The sequence below is a fragment of the Homo sapiens genome, chromosome 8 (assembly GCF_000001405.40).
Source record: "Homo sapiens chromosome 8, GRCh38.p14 Primary Assembly".
Lineage (NCBI taxonomy): Eukaryota > Metazoa > Chordata > Mammalia > Primates > Hominidae > Homo > Homo sapiens.
Window position 1 is genome coordinate 63,264,161 of NC_000008.11, and position 26,973 is coordinate 63,291,133.

The 26,973-nt window shown below is 40.6% G+C and overlaps 1 long non-coding RNA gene across 1 annotated transcript in view, besides 2 other annotated features; it reads left to right on the forward strand.

Moving 5' to 3' along the window:
* Positions 1,400-1,459: an enhancer, noted in NCBI's record as "active region_27453". NCBI's record gives its function as "activates an Ori minimal core promoter by ATAC-STARR-seq in GM12878 lymphoblastoid cells {active_cell/tissue: GM12878}" and the evidence as "EXISTENCE:reporter gene assay evidence [ECO:0000049][PMID:35858748]".
* The window catches only part of LOC105375873 (uncharacterized), a 39,300-nt gene continuing 24,247 nt past the window's right edge, over positions 11,921-26,973 (forward strand). The window contains exons 1-3 of the long non-coding RNA XR_001745931.2: positions 11,921-12,248; positions 13,730-13,824; positions 24,911-25,029. This is a non-coding gene — a long non-coding RNA (uncharacterized LOC105375873). The remainder of the gene's footprint in view (positions 12,249-13,729; positions 13,825-24,910; positions 25,030-26,973) is intronic.
* Positions 20,280-20,471: a silencer, noted in NCBI's record as "fragment chr8:64196998-64197189 (GRCh37/hg19 assembly coordinates)". NCBI's record gives its function as "represses an EF-1alpha promoter that drives an FKBP-Casp9 reporter gene in an ReSE screen in HepG2 liver carcinoma cells {active_cell/tissue: HepG2}" and the evidence as "EXISTENCE:reporter gene assay evidence [ECO:0000049][PMID:32094911]".

Genomic DNA, 26,973 nt, shown 5'->3' on the forward strand with positions numbered 1-26,973 from the left:
TCCCCAGCATCTCCTCAAATTATTATTATTATTATTGTTTTTTGTTGTTGTTTATTTTTTGAGATGGAGTCTGGTTCTGTTGCCCAGACTGGAATGCAAAGGCACAATCTTGGCTCACTGCAACCTCAGCCTCTTGAGTTTAAGCAATTCTCCTGACTCAGCCTCTCAAGTAGCTGGGATTACAAGTGTTCACCACCACACCCAGCTACTTTTTGTATTTTTAGTAGAGACGAGGTTTTGCCATGTTGGCCAGGTTGGTCTTGAACTCCTGGCTTCAAGTGATCCACCGGCCTCGGCCTCCCAAAGTGTGGGATTACAGGTGTGAGCCACTGCGCCTGGCCTCTCCTCAAATTCATCTTCCAAGCGTGATAGCAGTCATGTTGTTGCAGACCAATGGTCCTAAATTCTTCCTCCTTCCTGCTTTGTAGTCTGTCTTTGTATATTGTCCTCCTGTAATGATTCTCAGACTTTTGGACTTGTAAAATTTAAGGAGAGTTTTGAGAGCTGCCATAGGGACGCAAATGTTTTATTTAGCAAAATACATGAAAAAGAAACGCCAAAATATCTACCACTTACTGTTACCATTATTTTGTCAAAGGTATGACATTCCAACACTCAAAGGCAGAGAGGATGTCCTGAAATAAAGGACAGTCTCTAAAAGTAATAAATTTAGTATGACAGGAATGAAAGCAAAGAAGCTGCCCTTGTTCCACAAGAAAGGAGCTCATGTCATGGGCAGTAAAAGGCCAGGACATTGTGTCCTGTGCACGGGGGCAACAGGTAAAGTGTCTCTCCCCCAGCACAGACATGCCCCCACCCCCTGAAGCAGTACGAGAGGGTGTGGGGTGGTACCTCTGAGGTTAGTGAGCCACTGGCAGGAAAAAATGACAGAGAAGGGTGAAGGGGCAGGAAAGACAAAGAATGAGTAGAATCTAAGAAAACCTGAATAGAGGAGAGTCTGTAGGGTGGAAGAATGATGGACAGGAAAGAGGACTTTGAAAAATTTTGGTGTGCTTTTTTTTTCTCAGAGACCGAAGTGAAAAGTAAATTATTTTTCAACAATTTAGGATCATGAACTGATTTTTTTTAAAGGAATCTATGAGTAGAAGCAGGCTGCCTTGGCTTTGTGCAGTTCACATTCCTGTCCCGTAAGTATTACTCTGTGTTGGCGTTGTCCTCATTTGCTGTAGATGGATCTGGGTGCTGGTGTACAGGAAAACTGCTCTAGCATCCGGGCTGTGGGTGGACACAGGTGTTGGCATGCTCCTTCGGCCTCAGACCTCACCTGCTCTCCCCACAACCCTGTTTGACCCCTGGGCAGCTCTCCTGTTCTTGATGACTGTTAAAATGACTCTACTGCCACCACCAGTGCCACTCTTGACACTACAGATTTGGGGCTCCAACCAGGGCCAAGCTGGGGCAAGACTCTCTCCTTCACTTTACAAATTTAGTATCAGGTTCTATAGAGGGTCGCCGGGTTTTTCAGGTTTTAAGTCTTCAGAGAGTGCTCCAGGGAGCACTTGAGAAACACCACTTACAAGTTATCCTTTTTGATGCTGCTGAATATTTGGGGATAGAGTCAGAGCTAACTCACTCCTAATTCCAGTCTGCCTACCTTTCCTTCTCTTTCAGCATCAACTTTTTAAATGTAGGTGTCTTAGTTGGGGTTTCCTAGGGAACAGACTCTGGGATAGAGATTTGTGTGCAGAAGGTTCCCTGGGGCTGGTGTCACAGTGCACAACTGCAGGGGTGTGAATGTAGCAGGACGGGGCCGTGGAGGTGGACTGTGATGCTGGCTCAGCACAATTTCCCTGGATTGAGGGCCTCTGGGTAGGGACAGCCCTTTGGTCTTTGAGCCACACTGGCCAGTCATTTGGCTGCAGCCTGCTCTGGGGCGGGGCGGGGTGTGATCTTGGCCACATGACTCTCTGACTGAGGCTAATTTTGGGTTGAGTTATAGCTAAGTTCTGTCTGCCACCTAAGTCCTCAGCATTGGGCTGTGAGGGCTTCAGTCGTACAGAAGGCGTCTGGGTGGTGCACACCACACTATCCATGACTAGAAGACTTAGGACTTACCCCCTCCTTCCTTTGTTCCCATCCAGGTGTTTATGGCATTTCCAGTGCAGGGTCACACTGAAGTTCTACAAATCCCAAAGTCCACAAATCCCAAAGTCCTCATCATCATTATTATTTTTTTAAGGAAGCCTACTTGGACCTATGCAAAATGAATTCCAGGAGTTTTCAGGGAAATTCCTGAGAGGTCCTTGACTGGGTTTGCTACCCTAGCCAGTTCACATTAATATTTATTCTGACCTTTGTAAAAGGTGTGCTTTACGTGTAGCCTTCAATTATTGTAATTTCAATTCTCGTTTGCAGATTTATGAATAATGAGACCTAGACTCAGTGAAGGCAAACACTTGTCCAAGGCTGTACAACTAGTGTTGGGATCAGAGTGATAACCTCAAAGCCGTGCTCATTCCTACTTCCTTCCCCAGCCACATTCCTTGCCCATCCCTCATGAGATGGTTTTTATGCAAGAGACTGGTGCTTGCTTTCTTTTTTTTTTTTTATGGTTTATCCTTTTATTGTTTCTCCTTTTATCAAAATGTGTCACAGCTGGGAACCAAGAGGAAGTAAAAAAAATACCCACAAATATTCCCGCTGACTTCCCATTAGTCCTCCCCCAACCCCCCACCCAGGGCTTCCAGCCAACCCCGAGCACACATGATCATCTCCCCCCACCCTCAGGCTTCTCCCAGCAATAAATACAGGTGACCATGATTCAGTGAAACCACAACTGATTTCTCCACCTTAAATACCCCTCAAAGGGGACAAGAAGGGGGCAAAAGAAGTTTAATGCCCATCCCCTAAGAGGTGTAGAAACGTCCTTCTGCCAAGGGACAGAGGAGGTAGAACTGCCCCTCTCAGAACTGCAGCAGCTCTACAAGGAATCGAGGAGAGGAAAGGGATAGAATGAGAGGGAAAAGGATGTTCTTTAGCAAACTCACTCCTTTGATCCATTCATCCTGTCCCAGGTAAGGGGTGGTCCCAGTGTATCGGTGGGGCATAAAAAGGGGAGGGCTGACAGAGTAGAGCCTGGAGGAAGAAATGAAAGGAGGGAGAGCAATCTGGTGGGAGGGAAGGGGGTAAAGGGGCCCTAACTCATTGCCCTCATCTTCTTCCAAGAAATGGCATCAACATACAAGAGGCATGAATGGATAGAGTCTGGGGGAGTTCAGGGCTCCTAAATAAGGGAAAGAGAAGGGGCGACAAGGGCCCTGTGGTTTCCTGGTCTTCATAAATGAATGTGCTAGAGACTGGTGGTTTCTTTTTGGCAAATCCAAAGGACAGTTTGGGTCCTCCTTTTATACTTGGCCTCTCTTCAGTAACTGACTGTTGACCAGTTGCCTCTAAAAACATTTTCTTCTTTTGGCTTCTGTTATTAATATTTTATGCTCACTTGGCTTTTCTCCTTCCTTTCTGCTTAGCTTTCCCATCTTGTCTTTAGCGCGCCTGTCTCTGTCTTTGCATTAGATATTTCTGTTCCCTGAAGTTTGGTCTTATCTTCTCATTCTATGCTGTCTCTCTATGTATCTTATTTACTCTCGCAGGTTTGTTACTTTTTATAGGCTAAGGGCTCCTATCCCCATGTTTCTACCCCAGATTCTACTTTTGAATCCATGTAGGCAGCCAGCTGTCTGCTGAACATCTCTACTTCAATGCACCATTGGTCCTACCAGGCAACAGTTATACTATTGAGCACTATTTGGTTCAAATTAATATTGAAACAAAACTGAAATCTGAATTCACTAAGTCCAAAATGGGGAAGCCATTGGATAATGTGACCAAATCATGGGCACCTGGCATGGGGAACTCTAGTACATTGAACCTGGCCGCAATCACATGTCCTGGATTCTTTTGGTGTACTGGCTCCAGGATGATGGCTGGTAGATCATAACTCCTATTGCAGAGCTCCATAGTACGAGAGGAAAAGAGTGCTTCTCTTTAGCTCCATTTCAGAAATACCTGGGAAAGTCCCTCCTGGCCCATACTACATGTGCTTACCCTGAAGACCAATCACTGTCGCCACATAATAATAACAATAACAACAACGATAATTTTAAAGGTAACCACATTGTTGAATACATTTATTTTTGGGGCAGGCACCATGCTCAAGATGTGTGTTTATGATTTCACATAACCCTTACAATAACTTCCTATGCAGGTACTATTATTATTTCCATTTTATAGAAAAAGACTGAGTTAGAAAAATTGAGTAATAGATGTGCAAATTCACACATCTATTAAGAGGAGGAACAATAATTCATATCTAGACAGTTGGACTCCAGAACCTGTGATGATCATTAGAGAGCTCTTACTCCCTTCAAAGGTGGAAACACTATTCTTCAGAGAGGGATTGTATCAGCACTTCAGTGTTTCTGTTTTTCTTTTACAAAATACATATAAGATAAATTTACCTTTTTTTGTTTTGTTTTTATTTGAGACAGAGTCTCGTTCTGTCACTGAGAGTGCAGTGGTGCAATCTCGGCTCACTGCAAGCTCCACCTCCCGGGTTCAAGCAATTCTCCCTGCCTCAGCCTCCCTAGTAGCTGGAATTACAGGACTCCACCACCATGCCCAGATAATTTTTGTATTTTTAGTAGAGACAGGGTTTCGCCATGTTTGCCAGGCTGGTCTTGAATCCCTAACCTCAGGTGATCTGCCTGTCTCAACCTCCCAAAGTGCTGGGATTACAGGTGTGAGCCATTTCACCCGGCCAAATTTGCCATTTTAAAGTGTACAGTTTGGTGGCATTAAGGACCTCTGCAACGCTGTGCAACCACTATACAATTCCGAAATTGTTTCATTACTCCAAAGAGAAACCCTGTATCCATTAAGCAATCACTTCCTGTTTCCTCCCTCCACAGCTCCTGGCAACCACAGAACTGCTTTCCGTTTTTTTTTTTTTGTTTATGTCTTTGTTTTTTTTTTTTTGAGACGGAGTCTTCCTCTGTCGCCCAGGCTGGAGTGCAGGGGCGTGATCTCAGCTCACTGCAAGCTCCGCCTCCCGGGTTCACGCCATTCTCCTGCCTCAGCCTCCTGAGTAGCTGGGACCACAGGTGCCTGCCACCACGCCCGGCTAATTTTTTGTATATTTTTGTAAAGAAGGGGTTTCACAGTGTTAGCTAGGATGGTCTCGATCTCCTGACCTCATGATCTGCCCACCTTGGCCTCCCAAAGTGCTGGGATTACAGGCATGAGCTACTGCGCCCAGCTGTTTTTACGGATTTGCCTATTTTGGATGTTTCACATAAATGGAATCACTCTCAGTAGTTGGCCTTTCGTGTTCGGCTTCTTTCGCTTAGCATTATGTTTTTGAATTTCTTACATGTTGTAGTGTGTATTTTATTCTTTCCCACAGCTGAATAATATTCCATTGTTTGGGTTATATCACATATTGTATGCGGTTACATTCAAATGAACTATCTAGAATAGGCAAACCCATAGACAGAAAGCAGACTAGTGGTTTTCAGGGGGATAGGAGGAGGGGAGGATGGGAGTGAATGCTTAATAGGTATAGGGTTTCTTTTTGGGCTGATGAAAATGTTCTGGAATTAGACAGTGGTGACATTTGAATAGCATCTTGAGTGTACTAAAATCCATTGAACTTTACAGTTTAAATGGTTAAAATGGTGAATTTTTTAAAAAAGAGAGGACTGGAAAAGAGAAGCTGAGAGATATTCATTGCCATAGTGAGCAGAACATGTCCCCAAATAGATTCAACCTCCTCATCTGTGACCCTCCAACCTGTTCCTCTTCCACATCTCCATGGCAGTGACCAGCACAGCCGTGCATTTAGTTGCTTGAGTCAGAAAGCCCATGACATCCTTGACTGCTGCTGCTTTCTCATCACCTTCAGTGAAATAACCATGAGGCACATGCCCTCCTCTTCCTAACGTACCTCATCCATCTTTTTCTGCCTTCACATCATTGTTAGTGTTATTAGTAGTACTTACCCACTTATTCATTCGGCATTTCCTGTGTACCAACCACTGCGCTTTGCTTTAATTCAAACCACCCTTTCACACAGCTTTTCTACTTGTCTCCTAGTTGCAATAGGTCCTCATTTTTACCTCCTTCTATTCTATTCTCACTTGCAGAATGATGTTTTATGAATCTTTGGTCTGCTTGTGTGACTTCCCTTCTTAAAACCTTTTGATAGCTAGCCATCAGCCTCAGACCAAAACAAAATTCCTTAATCAGGCTTTCAAGGTTGTACTTTTTGATTTGCCATTTCTTAGCCCACAGGCCTCACTTCTCCCCATTCTCTCCTGCTCCTCCCTCCAGACATCCTGAGTCACTTACCATTTGTCAAATATGCCAAGCTGTCTCTCTTGCCTTTGTGCTTTGTGCGTGGTGTTCTCTTTGCCCTAAACACTCTTCCTTTGGACCCTTCTGCACCTAGATATCACCTATCCAAACTTCAGGTCCCAGTTTTGATGGCACTTCATTTGGGAAGTCTTCTCTTGACCCTCTGTGACTGGATTAGGAGCCCGTCCTATGTGCTAGCACAGAACCCCATACTTAATTCTATTGTCACACACACTACACTTGATTGCAGAGGCCAGTTCAGCTGACTGTAAGCTCCTTGTGGCTTGCATCCTTCACATGCCTTTAGTAATGCCTGGCATGACATAGGCTCACATAAATACTGGTTGAATGCATTTCTAAGAAGCTGAGCCTGGCACTGTGCATGAAAGTAGGACACCATCAGGGTAAGGGTTCCTTACATGGGCCTTATCACGGTGGCCTGCCTCTGTGTCTCCACGTGGCAATGGGAACAGAGACAAAGATGAATGTTTATGGTGTAAGCCTCTTAATCCATATTGTGACTCATGCCATTAATAGGAATCCTACAGAAATTGGATGAGGATAAATGACAATGTTGCAAGGGTTTATTTAAAAAATGGCTGTAGAATTCTTGCTCACGGATTATGGTCAAGACGTTTTTATAGTCTGTGTTTAGTTCTTTGAAAGAAGAGATTTCAAATAATACTTGAATAATAATAATGTTTCAAATAACATTTAATAATACTGTCTCATCCTCCTCCTCCTCACCACTACTAATATCTCCTCATTGCAAATCTCTATTATTTCCCCTTCACTGAAAGTAAGTCAGTCTAAAGGCATCCATTTCATGGACAATTATTACATATTATACTGATGCAGAGCACATTTAATGACAAGAAATAAAAAGGATTGACTGTCACTGCAGACTTGTCACATTTGATAGTCTAGAGAATTTTATTTCCCTGTTGTGTGGTGAAGACAGTGTAAAGTCTGCAGTGTGAGCCACCACATTCATTATAGACTCAACTCTTCATCCATTTGCTTCCTTAGTTTCTTGAGGGCATATCAAAATATAGAGGAGGTTTTTCCATGAAAAAAAAAAAACAGAAAAAAACCCCACAAGTATTTATTTCTACTTTTGTTTTCAACAGATCCTCAAATTGTAATGCATAACCAGGAAATTCTCTGGCAGGAAAAAGGAAATATAATGTTCACAGGCCATCCAGTTGAAATTCCCTTCAATTGGATTCAGCATTGATGCCTTTCTGCTCATGGCTTCCTGTAGCCCAAGGAGGCTGAGTAGGAGGTGGAATAGAAGAGTTTTTGTCTCATTAGCAAGTAGTTGCCTCTGCTTTGTCCCGAGAAGCTGCTCCTGTGAAGATCATCTCTAATATATATATATATATATATTTTGAGATAGAGTCGGGCTCTGTCACCCAGGCTGGAGTGCAGTGGCATGATCTCGGCTCACTGCAGCGTTAACCTCCAGGGCTCAAGTGATCCTCCCACTTTAGCCTCCCGAGTAGCTGGGATCACACACGCGTACCACCACACCCAGTTAAGTCTTTGTATTTTTTTGTAGGGATACAGTTTTGCCATGTTGCTCAGGCTGATCTTGAACTCCTGGCCTCAAGCAGTCTGCCTGCCTCGGCCACCCAAGGTGCTGGGATTACAGGCATGGCCACCACACCTGGCCCACTGATACTTTAATCACTATAGTCAGAAGTGCTGCCTCGATTACCCCAGCTTCTGGAAACAGAGGAGAGGAAGCTGTAGTTGGAGGTTCTGACCAATGGCCAGGGAGGTGTATCTTCAGCTAGAGAAATGAGAGTTCTTGGGCTGCTTTTAGAGGAGCAGTGTGGTACGGTGGAAAGATTACAGGCTTCAGAGCCAGCCGGATCTAGCCTTATATTATAGCTTTCTCAGTTTCTGTCTGTGCAATTGTTACTGGAAATTCCTGAGTCTGAGTTTCCTCACCTATAAAATGGACTCAATAATTTCTACCTTGAAGTGTTATTGTGAGGGATAAATAATAAAAATAATGAACAAATATTGAGTTTATGTTTTGGGCCAGGCTCTGTGCTATGTCTTTTTTTTTCTTTTTTTTTTGAAACAGGGTCTCGCTCTGTTGCCCAATCTGGAGTGCAGTGGTATGATCTTAGCTCACTGCAAACTCCACCACTGCCCTCGCCCACCCACTGCCTGGGTTCAAGGGATCCTCCTACCTCAGCCTCCTGAGTAGCTGGGACCACAGGGATGTGCCACCACGCCAGGCTTATTATTTTTGTACTTTTAGTAGAGACGGTGGGTGGTGGTGGGGGGGGGGTCTCATCATGTTGCTCAGGCTGGTCTCGAACTTCTGAGCTCAAGCTATTCACCTGCCTCAGCCTCCCAAAGTGTTGAGATTACAGGCGTGAGCTACCACGCCCGGCCTGTGGTACGTCTTTTATAAACACTATCTATTTTATCTTCCTGACAAGCACCAGGTTGTTTTTTCTTATTCCATATTGCCGTGAAGACACAGCTTTAGAGGGTCAGTCAGAAGTGCTGCCCTGATTGCCTGAGCTTCTAGTTCAGTAATTGAATAATTTACCTCATGTCAAACAGCTGGTAAGAGCCAGAGCCTGGGGAAACCCAAGCCAGTAGGTCTCAATGTTGTGGCCTTAACATTGATACTAGTTTTTCTTAAGCTAAACTAATGTACTAATCCTTTTAAGGAAAAAAAATTATTGGGCCCTTATTTGGATGTAAACTATTCTGTTAAATATTGATATTTGCATAAGCTGAAAATGTAAGTTTAAGATGAAAAATGTAAGTATATATCTGATAGTATGTGAGAGAGATGTTGATTTCCTGTTTGTTGCAGCCCAAATATGCTGCCGACTACTAAAGGCAAAAGAACTTTTGAGATCAGCATGACTCTTGTACTCCGGGCCCTGCCATACTCCAATTTTCCTGCCACTTTTCTCCATGGGAACTACTGCAAGGCCTTTTGTCTTGTAGCCTCTGATGTCATTGGGCCTTCGTTTGGCTGAAAAGCAGGATTTCCATATGAAATTCACTTTTGTTAATTTCACATTAGCCTTAGATACAGTGCCACGGGGTGCCAACACATTCATAAAAACAAATGCTGAGGCAGGCAGTTTATACCAATGTTCTCAAATTTAAGTAATAGGCCTCTTTAAAGGAGAAAGAATTTCTTGGTCCTATTAAGTTATAAGGTTGTTATCCATTGATTGAAATTATAGTTTTATTACTTTTTTAAAGGCTATTAGTTTAATGGAGACACCAACTTTATTTTTTCATCTTTATTTTTATTTTTTAGATGGAGTCTCACTCTCACCCAGGCTGGAGGGCAGTAGCACAATCTCGTCTCACTGCAACCTCCACCTCCCGGGTTCAAGTTATTCTCCTGCCTCAGCCTACCGAGTAGCTTGAATTACAGGCACTCGCCACCACACCTGGCTGATTTTTGTATTTTTAGTAGAGACGGGGTTTTGCCATGTTGGCCAGTCTGGTCTCAAACTCCTGACCTCAGGTGATCCTCCAGCCCCAGCTTCCCAAAGTGCTGGGATTACAGGAGTGAGCCACCGCGCCTGGCCAGCGACACCAACTTTAAATATTTTGCTAGGAATCCTCATGCTATCAAGAGTACAATTAAGACTCCCAGTTGTCTGAGGGCCTCAGGGAAGCACCGATCTTCACAGTGTTGGTCTTCATAATGCTGCCTTGACAACAGAAAAGTGGACAGAAAGGGTTTGGTTGCAGCAAGTGTGTGTCAAGTGTGAAATAAATATGTATTTCATTACATTTTTAACTATATTTTTTGAATAGGCAATATATTCACATGGTCCAAAATATTATTTTATTTTTTTAGAGACTGGGCCTTGCCCGGTCACCCAGGCTGGAGGGGTGCAATCATGGCTCACTGTCGCTTCGATTTCCTGGGCTCATGTGATCTTCCCTCCTCAGCCTCCTGAGTCCAAACTTTTAAAAGTATATAAAAAAAAGTTTTGAGGTGTAAATCAATAAGTTTATACACTGTGCAGGAACTGGTTAATATCTGTACTATTTTTCATCTCTTTGCCAGTCAAGAAGGTGGATAATAATAGAAAGGTATGTAGAATATATGGAGGACCATATTTATGTGTTTCTTGTCGCAGTTGATTTCAAATGCCTATGAGGCAATTTTTTAGAAACATGAATAAATAAACTGCAACATTGTATACACCTATGTATACCTATGTAGATTCTCCCTTGTGACAGAAACTGAGTTTTGGATAGAAGATTTCCAATATTGATGAGAAAACACATGATGTGCTGGAATGGATGGATCTTCAGCAAGTCATAGATATGTTGCCTGCTGCATCGCATAGCATTTCAAGATACTGGATCTAGGAATTAGATTTGTGTTACTGGGAAGGCTTTGGAGAGAACAGATGTGAAATGCTAAGCCAAATGAGTGTGTGAGCTTTTCACATCTGTCCCTTTAATTTTCTGTATTTTTGCTTCATTATTTGCATCGTTGGAATGCTGTATCTGTCATATGCCAACAGATGGCAATATTATAAGATCATTTTTTTAAGATGGTTAAAATGAACGACATTCTCTGCTGTTTCCGGATTAGTCAGATGGAAGAAACAAGATCTTTATTGGTTGTCTCTTTGGTATTACAAAATTGTATTTTTATAAATTTTTCGTAAGATATTACCAACATTTTTTCATGTCACTGCTGCCTCTTTTTGACTAGTTTTTTTTTCCTTTTGCTTAACATTTAACTTCAGATTCAACCCATCTTTGCTATATTTTATGGACAAATCTTTATATATCTGCTTTGAAATGCAAATGAAAGCAAACTATTGGTATAACTATATTTATCAAGTAGTACTAAATTAGTATTAGCTATGTGAAATGTTTAATGTCATCAACATTTGAAAATGCTTACACATTTGAAAATTCCTTTGCCTCTTTAGAGTACAAAATACAAGCAAATCACACTCATATTGCCCCTCTTCTTCTTTTTGTTTTTAACCAATTTTTAGACTGGCAGAAATGTTTTTATTTCAGAACCATGTGTTTGTTTGAAATTTGTAAACTCTTCTAGAAAGTGTTGTATTTTGGACTAAGCTTCTCTTCTTAGCAACTTAAGAATCCTGTCATCTGACCTATGATGGAACTTCTAAAGACATTTAAGGAGCTCTGAGTGCTGGCTGTTGATATGAGCATTGAGCAAAATCTTAAGATGGGAAAGAAATATTGTTGAAGGCATCCAGCCTGTATTGTTGCCCCAAGAAGGAGCACTGTTATCCCATAACTTCTGTTTATTTGTCATTTTCCTGGTTCCTTTCCCTGCACCCAGCTACCTCCGGGGCCCTGCGAACATCTCATGCAATGCCTCTTTTTGGGGGATGTAATCCATGTCTATCCACAGATTTTCAGACACCAACCATATGTCAGAGAGTTCAAATATATCCCCAGGCCTGATCGCGTTTGGAAGGGCTTTCCTGCATTTCAGGCTGCTGGAGACTTGGTGCCTGATGTATTTACCCACTGGCACCTCAAATTCAATTTGCCTAAGAAAATTATTTCCCTGGAAGAACATAATCCATTTCCCACAGTGTTCAGGCTAGAAAATTTTTCCACCATGAGTTCCTTAATATTTGAGTCCCAAGAGAGACTGCGAAAGGAAAAGTCTGAGAAACTGGATATTTATCACCCCTTTGGAGATTCCCAATGCTTCCTAATGTAGTGAAAGCTCAGAAAAGACTTGCAGAATGAAGTGGCTTTAACTCAATTTAACCTAGCATCTCCCAAGCTTATTTGAACATGGGACACTTTAAAAAATGTAACCCCATCCTGTGAAACCGGTGCCTGGTGGAAACTTTGAGGGACACAAGGTAGGAGTCATCTTTGATTTTCCCTTTCTTCTCCCCACTTTGAAAATTGGGGTATACTATACCTATGGCAAAGTGCACAAATATTAAACATATGGCTTGATTTCTGTATAGACACACCTGTGTAACTACCACCCAGATTAAAAAAAAATGGTGCATACTCTATGATTCTGTTTATATGAGATTTAAGACAGGCAAAATTAATCTACAGTGAAGAAGGTAGAATAATGGCTCTCTGGTGGTGGGCACAGGAGGGGGATGGGAATGCAAGATACAGACTGTGAAGTGGCCTGAGGAAACGAATGGGTTTCTGGAGCTATTCCATCCCCTCCCCACTTGCACTCACGTTCACCTGGATTTTTGAGATTATGGTTTGAATGCCTTGACTGCCTTCTTGCTTTCTGCTCTCACTGAATGCTCTCTTCTTCCATCGGCCCTTGCTGTCCGTGGATTATGTGTCTCCCTCTTCCTGGGCTACCCTCCTGATTACTGATGCTTCTCATATGCCTCTGGCATCAAGAGTAGATGTCACTTGCAGTGAAATCTCAGCTCAGAACCTCTTTTTTTTTTGAGATGGAGTCTCACTCTGTCACCCAGGCTGGAGTGCAGTGGCGGGATCTCGACTCACTGCAAGCTCCGTCTCCCAGGTTCATGCTATTCTCCTGCCTCAGCCTCCCGAGTAGCTGGGACTACAGGCGCCCAACACCAGGCCCGACTAATTTTTTGTATTTTTAGTAGAGATGGAGTTTCACCGTGTTAACCAGAATGGTCTCGATCTCCTGAGCTCGTGATCCACCTGCCTTGGGCTCCCAAAGTGCTGGAATTACAGGCTTGAGCCACCGTGCCCAGCTCTCAGAACCTCTTTTTTTGCACCACCCACATTCTGTGTTCACTTCATTTATTACACTTACCATGCTGTGCAGCCATGGTCTGTGATGCATCTGTGTCCCCACTGGACTGTCAGTCCCTTGTGAGATCCCATTGAGTGGTCAATATCTTGATTGCTGTTTTAGCTCAAGTATATGGTGGCATCTTTTTTTTTTTTTTAATGAATCCAGAACAAGCCAATGAATCTTCCTGCTTCCTATCTCAGTCTCAGCTTTTCATCCACCCTCAAGTCCAAGTCCTTTCTAAACTCCAGGCCTTGTTATGTGTATTACTCTCCCTATCATTACTCTTCAGTGGCTCCCCTGAGCTTTAAGAATGGAGGCCAGACCTCAAACTTCCTCATCTGTCACTCAAGGACTATGCAGACTCACTCCACTCAACTACACAAATTGTTTTTCCCACCACTCCCTATTGACCATTCTCTGTCCAGGGACCCAAGCCCCTTCATATCTCCTAGTATGGCAGGTCCTCTTATGCTTCCAGGCCTGTGTTTAGGCTTTTCCTTCTGCTTTTCATGCCTCCACTTAAGTTCTTTGAGTCTCAGTTCAAACATTCATTCATCCAACAAACTTATTGTACTTCCTACTGATTCCCAGGAACTATTACATGCCCTGAGATACAGAAGCACGCAAGACCAACAAGATCCATGAGCTTACATTTGAAGGCAAAGAAAGCTGGAAAATCTTATGAAGTAAGTGATTTTACGTGTTAACGATGAGCTTTGTAGATCATTCTTTAAAGTAGTACAGTGACTGGCAGATGTTCTAACTAACAGAATCTTATTTGCTTTATTGAGCTTTGAAATTAAATTCTGGGACCTCTCATATGACTATCTTCTGTATTTTACATGTTGATCCTTTCAGTAGCTTAAAAATTATCCCATAACCTTGCTCTTAATAAGATTTTTACATATTTTTAAATAAGGGAAAGCATACATAAATCAGCTTCAGGTACAAAAGGTGAGCTATACAGTCATGTGTTGTTAATGACAGAAACAAGTTCTGAGAAATGCATTTTTAGGTGATTTAATCATCGTGCACCTCATAGAGAGTACATACACAAATCTAGGTGGTCTAGACTACTACACACCTAGGTTATATGATATAGTCTATTGCTCCTAGGCTACAAACCTGTTACTGTCCTGATACTGCAGGCAACTATAACACAATGCTATTTGCGATCTAAACATATCTAAAATTAGAAAAGGTGCAGTAAAAATATGATATGATAGTCTTATGGGACCACCATTGTATTTGTGGCCCATCACTGACTGAAACATCATTATGTGGTGCATAACTGTATTTAATACTGCTATACAGCTTTTTAAGATTTTTAATTGTTCACCTTGAAGTAGGAAATCAAAGGGGTAGTTTGATGTAGCAGAAAGAGCAGTAGATCAAGAAACTTTAGTCTCATTTCAGTTCCTAACTCTTCTATTAGCTATGTCACCTTGGATAATTCACATAGCACATTGTGTTCATCTATAAAAGATATACTTAAAGTTGAAAATCTAAATCTTTCTCCAGTGTTAAAATTGCTGCAGCAAGTAGAAATAGGTAGAACTCTATCTTCCTTAAAGGAAAACTCATTTATGAAATTTGGGCTATTTTTATAAAAGAAATTAAAGTGTAGATTTTTTTTTTTACTTCGCTGTTCTTAATGTTATTGTATGAATGACCTCAACATTGTTGACTTCAATGACAAATTCTCAGTCCTCATCTATATTTGGCCTATCAAGGGCATTTGACCGATTGATAATTTCCTCCTCCTTCTCCAATCCTTTATTGTACAGTCTTTTCTTTCCCCTTCTTCACTGACTGCTCTCAGTTTTCTGTACATGCTCCTCTATATCTTACTGACTTCTAAACAATGGTGTGACCCAGGGCCAAGCCCCAATTTTGTTTTCTATCTACATAGATTCCAATTACCATGCGTTAGTTATCCATTGCTGCATAACAAATTGGCCCCCAAATTTACAGCTTAAGACAATATACATTTATTATCTTACAGTTTCTGTGGGTCAGAAATCTGGGCATAACATTACTGAGTCCTCTAACTTAGGGTTTTTCACAGGTTACAATAAAGTGTCAGCAGAGACTAAGGTTTCATCAGAAGGCCTGACTGAGGAAGGATGTACATCCAAGCTCACATGATTGCTGGCAGGATTCAGTTCTTTTCGGCTGTTGGAATCAGGGCCTCAGTTCCTGGCTGGCTCCTGCCTGAAGGCCCCCCTCAGTTCCTTGCCATGCAAGCTTCTCCAACATGGAAGCTTGCTTCATTATCCTTCAAGATCTACTTCTACCTATTCCTGCTTGCTGTAATCATAAAATCAATGATGTGTAATAGGCATCTCATAACATGTTCCACACTGAATTCCTGATTTGCAATCCATCTCCCCATCCCAGGTACATTCTTCCTGCAGTTTTGCTGTGTCAGTAAGTGGTGACTACATTTTTATAGTTTCACATGCCAAAAAACCTTACAGTAATCTATGATTGCTCTCTCTCACAACACATCAACTCATCAGCAAATCAAATTGACTTCACTTTCAAAAGACTTTATATCCAGAACTCAACCATTGCTTGCTGCCTCCCCCAGTTACCACCCTGGTCCTGTCCACCAGCATCTCTTGAATAGATTATTGTAATAAGTCCCCAAGTTGCTTCTGTGCTTCTCCATTGCCAATCTTCATTCTATTATCAACATAGTGGCCAGATTTTTCTTGTTGAAAGGTAGATGAAGTCACGTCATTTTTCTCTTCTGAACTTCTCAGTGGTTCTTTGCTTTAGTCAGATTAATAGCCAATCCTTGTAGGTGTCTACATGGGCTGGCCCTTTGTTTCCCTCCCTTGTCTCATCCCCTCACTCTCTGTTCGAGCCACACTGGCATTCTAGCTGCTCCTTGAATGCACCAGGCATGCATTTAAAAATGTATACCCAGTATTTGTTTTAATCAGGTATGGCATGACTTATAGATACAGAAATGATTGTTATGAAGGAAAAAGTATTTACTCATGGTTCCTAGAAGCAGGAGACAATTGTAAGCCATGCTGGGCCACACAGGAAGCACCAGTGTCAGTCAGGAGGCAAAGGGGTGAGAGGAGGTATGGGGAAAAGCTTTTATTGTGATTTCCATGGGGAAAGGCAAGGCAGAGTAACCAGGCTTAGGATGGACCAGTCTGAATGATTTCAGCAGGCTCTGGAGTACAGAGGCTGTCTCTGGTTGTCTGATACATGGCCCTGGGGTGATTAGGACATGGGAATATTGGCCCTCAGTGTAGGAGCTCAATAAAAGAGGTGGCTGGAGGTATTGGCTTTGGGTTGGTTGATTTGCAAGTGAAAGGCATTGCTCTCTCTAGGAACTAGCTCACCCTGGGAGGGGTGGTCTCTCCAGGATCCAGCAAGGCCCCAGAGGCCAGACCATCAAAAATTCTAAAAATAAGAACATACAGCAAGCTGGGTGTGGTGGCTCATGCCTGTAATCCCAACATTTTGCGAGGTTGAGATGGGCGGATCACTTGAGGTCAGGAGTTCCAGACCAGCCTAGCCAACATGGTGAAACCCTGTCTCTACTAAAAACACAAAATAAGCCAGGTGTTATGGCATGCACCTGTAATCCCAGCCACTTGGGAGGCTGAGGCAGGAGAATCATTTGAACCCAGGAGGTGGAGATTGCAATGAGCCAAGATTGCACCATTGCACTCCAGCCTGGGTGACAGAGCAAGACTGTGTCTCAAAAAAAAAAAAAAACAACAAAACAAAAAACCAAAAAGAACCTGTAGGTAATATGACATGCTCCCATATCACACAACTGCACTTCTCATTTCTGTGTGAGTTCTGTCACCTCCACAGATATTTGCATGAATTGCTTTATCACCAAGTCTCTGCTCAGGATTGCTTATCCACCAGGTCTTCCCTGACCACCATCCATTCAATCTGGCCCTCCCTCCCTCAGCCCCATCATCTTCCTCTTATTCTGCTTTTCTGTTCTCTTTAACACTTATCACTTTTGACATGTATTTACTTATTGTCTGTCTCTCTCAATTAGGATGTAAACTGTATTAGTATAGAGACTTTGTGGGATATCTCACACACACACACATGCACACACACACACACACACCTTCCTCAGAAACTGAATAAATGAACAAATGAAATGCTTAGCTTAAGATACTAATTGTGTGGGCTTTTAAAATAAATCAAGCAGAAATAATGCTATACTGGACAGCATGACCTGGACATTAAAATGCTTTAATTCATATGGCACCTCCATCAAGATAAAGCAGTTAATCCTTTTACCTACACACCACACACTAATAAATATGTGTGTGTGTGTGTGTGTGTATATATATATATATATATATACACATTTATGAGGTAAGTCCACCTCCTGATTGAACAGCATTTGGGGAGATGAGCCAATGGGGAGCATGCTCCACTCTGATAGTGAAGAGCAGGTGGGAACCAATGGAGGAGAACCAAGTCTCCTTCGGGGTTCAAGATGTGGCTGGCCCTTGCTTTCTGTTTGGATAATGTCCAAGACACCTTCTGCAATCCCTAGAGTGGACCCTTGGCAGAAATTCAGCTCAATCCATCAAATCATGTTTGGAGGTGGACCAATGACATCATATTTGCCATCACACATATTTGTCCTCAGAGGATGACTGTGTGACAGAGAGTACCCTGCCTTACAGCCAGGAATGGGAAAATAAAGGAGTTGAATAGTTCATGCCTATTTTTTTTTTTTTTTTTTGCTTACTGGACAAGGAATATCCTTTTTCTTTAATAAGAGTTAGAGTTAAGAATGCTCAGTTTGGTTAGTACAAGAGCTGGGTGAGAGGTAATGAAACTAGTGCATTTTAAATTACCCTGGCTCATCCAGATATCATAGTGTAATACAATGCATGCATCTTTAGGCCATAAATATGTCCCTGAAAAGTTGTATGTGAAAATCAAATTCCAAACGCATTAAGAAATAAATATGAGGGGTCATCAAAAAGTTCATGGAAAATGAGTATTATGAAAAAGTTATGCATGGATTTCAAAATTTTTTCACACCAAAATAAGCCCATACTAACTTAATATAATGTGTCTGAATAGGATCTAGTTTGAGGTATTAAGAGGGATATGACATCAGTTTGAAAAGAGCCCCTATCAGAGAAACATGAATTTTGCTAAAATCAAAGCAAAAGCAAATATCAAATTTATGATAAAACTTGGGTGGAAGAATGATGAAATATTTGATGCTTTACAAAAAGTTTATATTGACTTTTTGGAGGGCCAAAGAAAAATAACATCTGCTTAGTATGAGAGTGTTTAGAGAAAGCCAAAGCTTTAGCAGAACAAAAGCCTGGAAGCTTCACCTGAGAGTCCTTACCCACGACAATGCTCCTGCTCATTCTTCTCATCAAAGAAGGGCTATGAGAGTTTCATTGGGAAGTCATTAGATCCACCTTAGAGTCCTGATTTGGCTCCTTCTGGCTTCTCTTTGTTTCCTAATCTTAAAAAATCTTTAAAGCACATCCATTTTCATTCAATAAAGTTTATAGTTTTTATTTTTATCTTTTAATTCCATTTTTTCCATGAACTTTTAATGTCTTCTCAAGGAAGAAACACCTCATATTTTAATAGTGGTTTACATCCTGAAAATATTCCATGCATTTTTATCTGTATGATTTCGCACATTTATTCAACATACTCTGAACACCAGCTGCATGACTGGCTCTAGGCTAGAAATCAAGGACAAATGATCTAGGGAGGAAGATGATAATATGCTACCACTACCAACTAGAAGTCTGATGGCCTAGGAATGCAGAAGCTGAAGGAGAAAGTCATGTGAGTAGACTGGAGAGAAGGCTGGGGCAGAACCTGGAAGGCCAGGGTGGAATTTGAATCCAAGCTTATAGGAGCAATAAAAATGTCATTGAAATGTAAGACAGTGACATGATCCAATTTGTGACTCTTATTTCTTTTTCCAGACAGTCTTTAAAATGTCCTCCACACACGCAGAGGCTCACATCTGTAAACCCAGCAATTTGGGAGGCTGAGGGGGGCAGATTGCCTGAGTTGAGGAGATTAAGACCAGCCTGGGTAACATGGTAAAATCCTGTCTCTACAAAAAATGCAAAAATATTAGCTGGGTGTGGTGGCACACTACTGTAGTCCCAACTACTTTGGGGGCTGAGGTGGGAGGATCACTTGAGCTTGGGAGTTTGAGGCTAAAGTGGGCAAAGATGGTGCCACTGCACTACAGACTGGGTGACAGAGTGAGACCTTGTCTCAAAAAAAAAAAAAAAAAAAGAAACACATCAAAAAATAAAACATCTTCCACCACACAATATGTTTATCTTTATTGTTTCAACTTTGATGTCTTCTTTTCTTTTTATATTTACTTAGCTAGTCATGGCCACCATGATAAAAAACAGTTGCTAAATTTAAGAATCTCTTTCTACTCTCAGCATAATAGCAGAAAACTCCTTAAGTACAAGATAAATCTGAGCTTGAATTGTAACTCTACTACCAATTATTTGTGAACATTTGAAAAAATCATGCACCTTCCCTATCTATTTCCTTATCAGTAAAATAAAGGAGTTGCTTCAGCACATTGACAGAATATCTTTTAGCTGGAACGTTTTGCAGCCTTTCTCCAGGAGGCACTGGGAGCTCCCAGTGATTTCTTTCTTTCATCGATACATAATATTTATACATATTTATGAGGTACATGTGATATTTCGTTATATGCCTAGAATGTGTAATGGTCAAGTCAGAGGTTTTAGGATATCTGTCACCTGGAGATATTTCATGCATCATTTCTATGTGTTGTGAGCATTTCAAGTCCTCTCTTTTAACTATTTCAAAATATACAATATGTTGCCATTATCTGTAGTCACTCTACTATCAAATGTTAGCACTTATTATTTTTTATGATTATAACTTATTCCTGTTATTTAACCATATGTTTGTATCTATTAATCAGCCTGCCTTCACTGCCCCCACTCCCCACCCTTCCCAGCCTTTAGTACAGGGGGGCCCAACTCCCAGGCCATGGACTGGTACTGGTTGGTGTTCTGTTAGGAACTGGGCTGCACAGCAGGAGGTGAGCAGTGGGTGAATGAGCACTACTGCCTGAGCTCCACTTCCTGTCAGATCGGCAGTGGCATTAGATTCTCATAGGAGCGCAAACCCTATTGTGAACTGCGCATGTGAGGGGTCTAAGTTGCACACTCCTTACAAGAATCTAATGCCTGATGATCTGTCACTGCCTCCCATCATCCCCAGATTTCCCCCGAGCAGAAAAACAAGCTCAGGGCTCCCACCGATTCTACATTATGGTGAGTTGTATAACTATTTCATTATGTATTACAATGTAGTAATAATAGAAATAAAGTGCACGATAAATTTAATGCACTTGAATCATCCCCAAACGATCACTGCCCCCACGGTCTGTGGAAAAACTGTCTTCCGTGAAACTGGTCCCTAGTGCCATAAGGGCTGGGGACTGCTGCTCTAGTATATATCATTATACTCTCTATATTCATGAGATCAGCTTTTTTAGTTCCCACATATGAGTAAGAAAACATGAAAATTATCTTTGGGTGCATAGCTTATTTCATGTAACATAATGACCCCCAGTTTCATCCATGTTGCTGCAAATGACATGATTTTATTCTATTTTATGGCCAAATCGTATTACATTGTGTATATATATATACACTGGCCTCCTTTCCTTTCCTTTCCTTTCCTTTCCTTTCCTTTCCTTTTTCCTTTCCTTTCCTTTCCTTTCCTTTCCTTTTTCCTTTCCTTTCCTTTCCTTTCCTTTCCTTTCCTTTCCTTTCCTTTCCTTTCCTTTCCTTTCCTTTCCTTTCCTTCCCTTCCCTTCCCTTGCCTTGCCTTTCCTTCCCTTTCCTTCCCTCCCTCCCTCCTTCCTTTGTTTTTGTAGAGACAGGGTCTTGCTATGTTGCCAAGGCTGGTCTGGAACTCCTGAGCTCAAGTGATCTTCCTGTCTTGGCTTTCCAAAACTCTGGGATTACAAGCATGAGCCATCATGTCCAGCCTGTAATACATGTTCTTTATCCATTCATCTGTTGATGGTCATTGAGGTTGACTCCGTGTCTTTGCTAGTGTGAATAGTTCCCAGCAAGTTATTAACAAATATATAGGCATCTGCTTAAGATGGCACCTGTTTTTGTCTTATAATCTCTATTATTGAGTCAATCTATACTCACCTAGATTTATCTACTGACACACATATCTGGACACTCTTGACCTTCCCCCATAACTCCAAACTTCAAAATATTCCCATGTTCATCTGTGTGATTAAAAGCAGAAAAGACTGAGAAGATTAAAAGGAGCAGTTGCATTTTGTTACATGATTAAGTTTCATGATGCCAATAGGATTGGGCTGTTGGCCAAGCCTTATAATTGATGGGCTTGTTGGCCAATTAGGAGGAACACATAAACTTGTATTATTAAATGGTGTCACATCAGGTTTAACCGCTGTAAGAGCAGACTTGCCTTGGGTCAACCTTTGAGTGTTTGACACTCACAGTCATTACAAGGGTCTGACTGGAGGGAAGCTTAAGCTTTGGTTTTGCATCGGGGATCCCAAGAGAAAGAGTACCTACCACTTCCTCCTTGGCATGGGGTCCTTCAGACAGTTTAGGTTTTGACTTGTTGCCTGCTTTGCCTGCTTCTTTCTCCCCAGATAGATAATGTGGACCAATCCAGTTTGGTCATAAGTCTATTTCCCTTTTTAAATATTTTGCAAAATGTTCTGGTGCATGATTAAAGCTGAAACTTGGCGCTTGGGCACAACAGGGGACACATTTGCTGCTTTGAATTTTATCAAGCAGCACACTTCTCCTCTGTCCTCCAAAGCAGCTTGGAGAATGTTCTCTAGAGTATGTATTTATTGCAAAAATATAGAGCCATGGGCCAGATTTTAATTCTGTTAACTTTTCTATGCAATGGATGTTCAAAAGAGCAATTCTGATTAAGTGTATACATAAAAGTTAGAAATTTGGAGGCCAATGTTTTCTAAGCTATAATTATTTCTCTAGATGTCATTTCTCTGGGGCTTTACCTATTAATTTAGATGGGAGGCCTACTTTGTATTTTCCATTGCCCATGTGGTTTGTTTATAAACAGTTTGTTTATGGAAGCTATATGTGTTGTTTTTAAATAAGATTGTGATATTATTACTGCCCATGGCGATCTCCAACCTAATTTAATAATTCGCATGGTACAGTTTCTTTAATTGAATTGTGTGAGTTGTAGATAATATGAGTGGCTCAAAGGTACCTGTTGTCTCAGAGCTCTGCTCATTCCCTCTGAGCAGGAAGCTGAAGTTTACAAAGGGATTGCTTGGTAAACAAGAGTTTAAAGAAACACCCTGAGAACAACAGGAACTGTTAAAAGCTCAGATAATATAATAATGTCACCCATAACTCTGGGTGTACAAACTGCAGATTTATGCAAGTAATTAATAGTGTCTTGCCAAGAGAGTCGGTAGGCTTTTCAAAAGGAATCTTTCTTTGTGTCTTTTGATATTTAAAGAGCTGTAATTAGAATGGCAGAGCTTTGAATCCTTTTTCCCCCCCATCCTCTTATACACATTAATTTATGGACCAATCCAGTATTACAGACAAGCTAATGAAAGAACCACACACTCCCTTTATAATTTTTTTTTTACAGTTTCACTTGTGTGGATGAATGTAAAGTAGTTAATGCTATAAATAAGTATAATGATGTGTCTCTTCTCTCAATTGCCAGTTGTTGATGCTGTAGTCTCAGACAATAGAAAAAAAGAATTGAATTTAAATCTCTACCCATCATGCTTTCTTCCTCTCTCTTGTGCACCAGTTAGAAAATTCAAATGTTTCTGCCATTATAAGGTGTTAAAAAAAAAGACTTAAGCTGAATTTCTGCCCCTTCTCTTTATTTTTAGAGTCAGAGAAAACAATTAAATAACTTCTGCCATTAGCTTAGGCTAAGGTTTAGCATCTTAGCTCCTCAGCAGGGTTCTCTTTCATGCTTGTAAGGGTTGGGAAGAGCACATGAACCCCTTGTCTTCTCCATGCCCTACAAGTGGGACTACACTAACAGCAAACCTTCAAATGTCCACAAAATTAGTTTGGCTTTTGGCTCCTTATGGGAGTACTTTGACCAGAACATATGGTTGCATTCCCTAATATTTTTGAATGTTTCTTTTAATGTTTTGAAATGGTTTCTGCTTTTTTGGCAAACAGGCTATTTTTTTTTCTTTTTGTATTTGACCTAACTAAAGGTATAAAACTTATTAGAATACTTTACTTAAACAGCCTGCTGAGTACAAGGCTAAGGTCAGGGCTCATGGCCTTCCAATAACTGGGGACCAAAATATGAACCACAGTTATATTACACTTACAGAAGCACTAGAGCCAAGACACTTCAAGTTCTTTCTTCATGCATATGATTTTTTTAAAATATTTATTTATTTATTTATTTATTTTTGAGATGGAGTCTTGCTCTGTCACCCAGGCTGGAGTGAAATGGCGCGATCTTGGCTCACTGCAAGCTCTGCCTCCCGGGTTCACGCCATTCTCCTGCCTCAGCCTCCCTAGTAGCTGGGACTACAGGCACCTGCCACCATGCCCAGCTAATTTTTTTGTATTTTTAGTAGAGACGGGGTTTCACCGTGTTAGCCAGGATGGTTTCGATCTCCTGACTTCGTGATCCGCCCACCTTGGCCTCCCAAAGTGCTGGGCATGCATATGATTTTTAATAAATGAAAGAATATGTTTCTTTTTTTTCAAACAAATTGCACGTGGTGCAGCACTCAGTTCTTGGGACTTAATGACACATTCCATAATACCAACATCATGAATGCCAAGTTTCTTTATCTATTTACTTTACATATTTCTTCCATAAGCTTAGACTTTGAACAGACTGAGCATCGTCTAATCCAAATTTTGTTATTTCGTGGATACAATAGAGATGCAGAAAACGGAAGTGGTGCACGAGGACCCAACAGATAGTTAGTAGCAAAGACAGCATTTGGGTCTCCATTATCCATGAACAGCACATCCTTCTGTGGTCTAATCATTTGTTTTAATGACATCTGTCAGTTCAGCTGGGTCAGAGTCGAAACAGTCATTTTCCTGATTTCTCAGTTTGTTGACTCTTTTAAGCTGTAATTTTCTTGAGAGTAAAGGCCTTGCGTGTTTAATTTGCTCTTTATGGTACCTGGGAGAACTTTATGAAAATATTAGAGTGTACGATGGACACCACACACCAGCAGCAACACAGCATAATTTTTAAAACCCAGCTTTGGGTACCATAATCTTGACACTGCCAAGTGTTTTGGTTATCCACCTGATTCTGTTTAACAGTTCCAGGAGGGAACCACTAAATTTGAACCATTTTAATAGCAATGAGACTTCTTGAGAAAAACAGTGCCCACACAGTAGATGCAATTTAATACGTGTTTAATTTAAGCATAATTTTGTGGACAACGATTACAAATAACATATAGCACTAAGGGCATTAGCTCCATGTTGATTTTATCAAGACCATGTGTTTTGTTGTCTTTTGGGGCATTGTTTCCTGATCCATCATGCTATTTCAAATTTGTTGAGTTTGGAAAGTTTCTTCCTTGTATCAAAACTTGTCTACCAATTGCAAATAATTTTTAGATACTTTGTCTATATTTGCTTAACAGGTTCAAACTAAGTATTGGGTGATTATTAACTATATTTCCATAGTAATAGTTACTGCTATTTCTTTTCTGCTACTTCACAGATCAATACCAGGAGGAAGGAGAAGACCTGTGATCTGTTTCTTTCCCTTTATGAGGAGATGGTGTACATGCCCAAGAAGGAGAGAAGATAGGAGGCCAGGCACAGTATCCTTGTGAACATGTCAGTAACCAGCATAACTAATGATAATTTATAGAAGGGAAGTTCTTATCTGTGGAATGTTTTAGTAAGATGTCTCTGGTTTAAAATGCCTACAGCAAACAAACTCAGAATCTGTGGATTTATGAGACACAACTTCCTAGAAGATGCCTCAGATGTAACTTTCTGGAAATAACTCAGAGATGTTTCGTAACCTAAAATGCCCCCTGCTATGAGAGAAAACTGTACTTCACCTGGAGAGCAGGTGAAGTATCTATTGTCTGGGCCAGAGGTACAACTGAGACAAAAAATAAGCACCTGGAGAGCTGTACTTGAAACATCAAACATCTCTTTGCTGTGTATGTGCATCTTAGTCATTTATATTCTCAAGCTTAAATTAGTAAGCTTAATACTAGGTAAGATCCTTGATTCGTGTGAATGTCTTGATAACCTGATCCTTTGTGTTAGCTCAGCTATGGTGCGAGAGAATGAGGACATTTGCTCTCTTCCAATGTTCTTTTTTGGTGAAATCCACTGAAGTAGTAATACTAGTCTGTTCCCTGGGAGTCATTACTTTCTATGTCTTGTAGTGAAGAAGATGGGTCTATGTGTGTACTTTCTTTTGTTTAGTGGCAGAAGAGGCCAACATATAGATTGGACATTACCTGAAAATTTCTCTTCAGCTGTGAAGAAAGCATCAGCTCTTTTGATTCCTACTTTTGAAATCTCCAGAAATTATCTTACCCTTCCACCCAGATTTTCACTGTTTTATAATTTTTATTACCACTGTGTTTGTGAGCTATGAGTAGATGACAAATAGTGGGAGCAGTGTTGAGTTTTCTTTGGCATAGTTAGCATAGTCTGTTATTTATATTGTTCTTGAAAGAACAATGCTTTCTCTAATTATGAACTAAGCATTAGATTTAAAATCAGAGAAACGTCCCATTCTACTTCTCTAATTATCTTTCTGAATTTAAATGTGTAATTTATTTTCTGGTCTTCACTCTTTGAAAATGGAGTTAAATATTTTCCTTTTGTGGTAAAAAATTTCAGCCTATTTGTGTTTGTGCCGTGTGGACATGCATTTGTGTATGTGAGAGAGACAGACTGTAAAATCTTGTTGATCTTGGTTCCTTAATATCAGGTGGTAGATGTAATAACCAAATACTTTGTAATTGGTTTTTAAATAATAGCACAGCATTCTTTATGAATATTTGATCTCAAATATTCAATAGGATCTCAATAAGGTAAGAGTAATTCCATTAGACTGATTGGCAGACAGATTTCTGGAATACAGTCTACAAATCCATATTAACTTTATTGATCTTTCTGGCTGTATTTTAATCACATTATAGCTTTAGAGCAAGTCGCCCTTTATTTTGATATCTTTTTGTTTAATGGAAAGGTAACTTTTTAAAGCTGGAAAAGGCTTGTGGCTGATATATAAAATTCTGGCCAAGATCAGAAAAAATCAATTCATTGGCTTCTATAAAGATACAAAATCAAACCAAAGTAAGTTACAAAAATATATTCACCATTTTTACTTGTCGTTATCTTATATCTCTTTTTTTCCTAATTTGTAGCTGAAAGAAGATCTTTAGAATATTTAAATGTGCAAAAATTAAGGATTATAATTTTAAAAGCATCTAACTTTAAGAAAACAAAATTTACCCTAGAGTTATTTCGTACTATATTAGCTGTTTAAAGTTTATATTTGAATTTACTTCAACAGTCATTTATTGAGTACTGCTAGGTACTGACCTTGGTATTAGAGAAATACGAGTAAGCAGAGCAGATAATCCCCCTTCTCATGAAGCTTGCATTCTAGTGGGCAAGAAAGAAAATGAATAAACTCAATATGCAATTTACAAAATATATTTAAAACTGATAAATGATAAAGGGAAAAAAGAAAGCAAGAAAGAAGTAGTCTTGGTCAACTTGGCTGCTGTAATAAAATACCAAAGACTG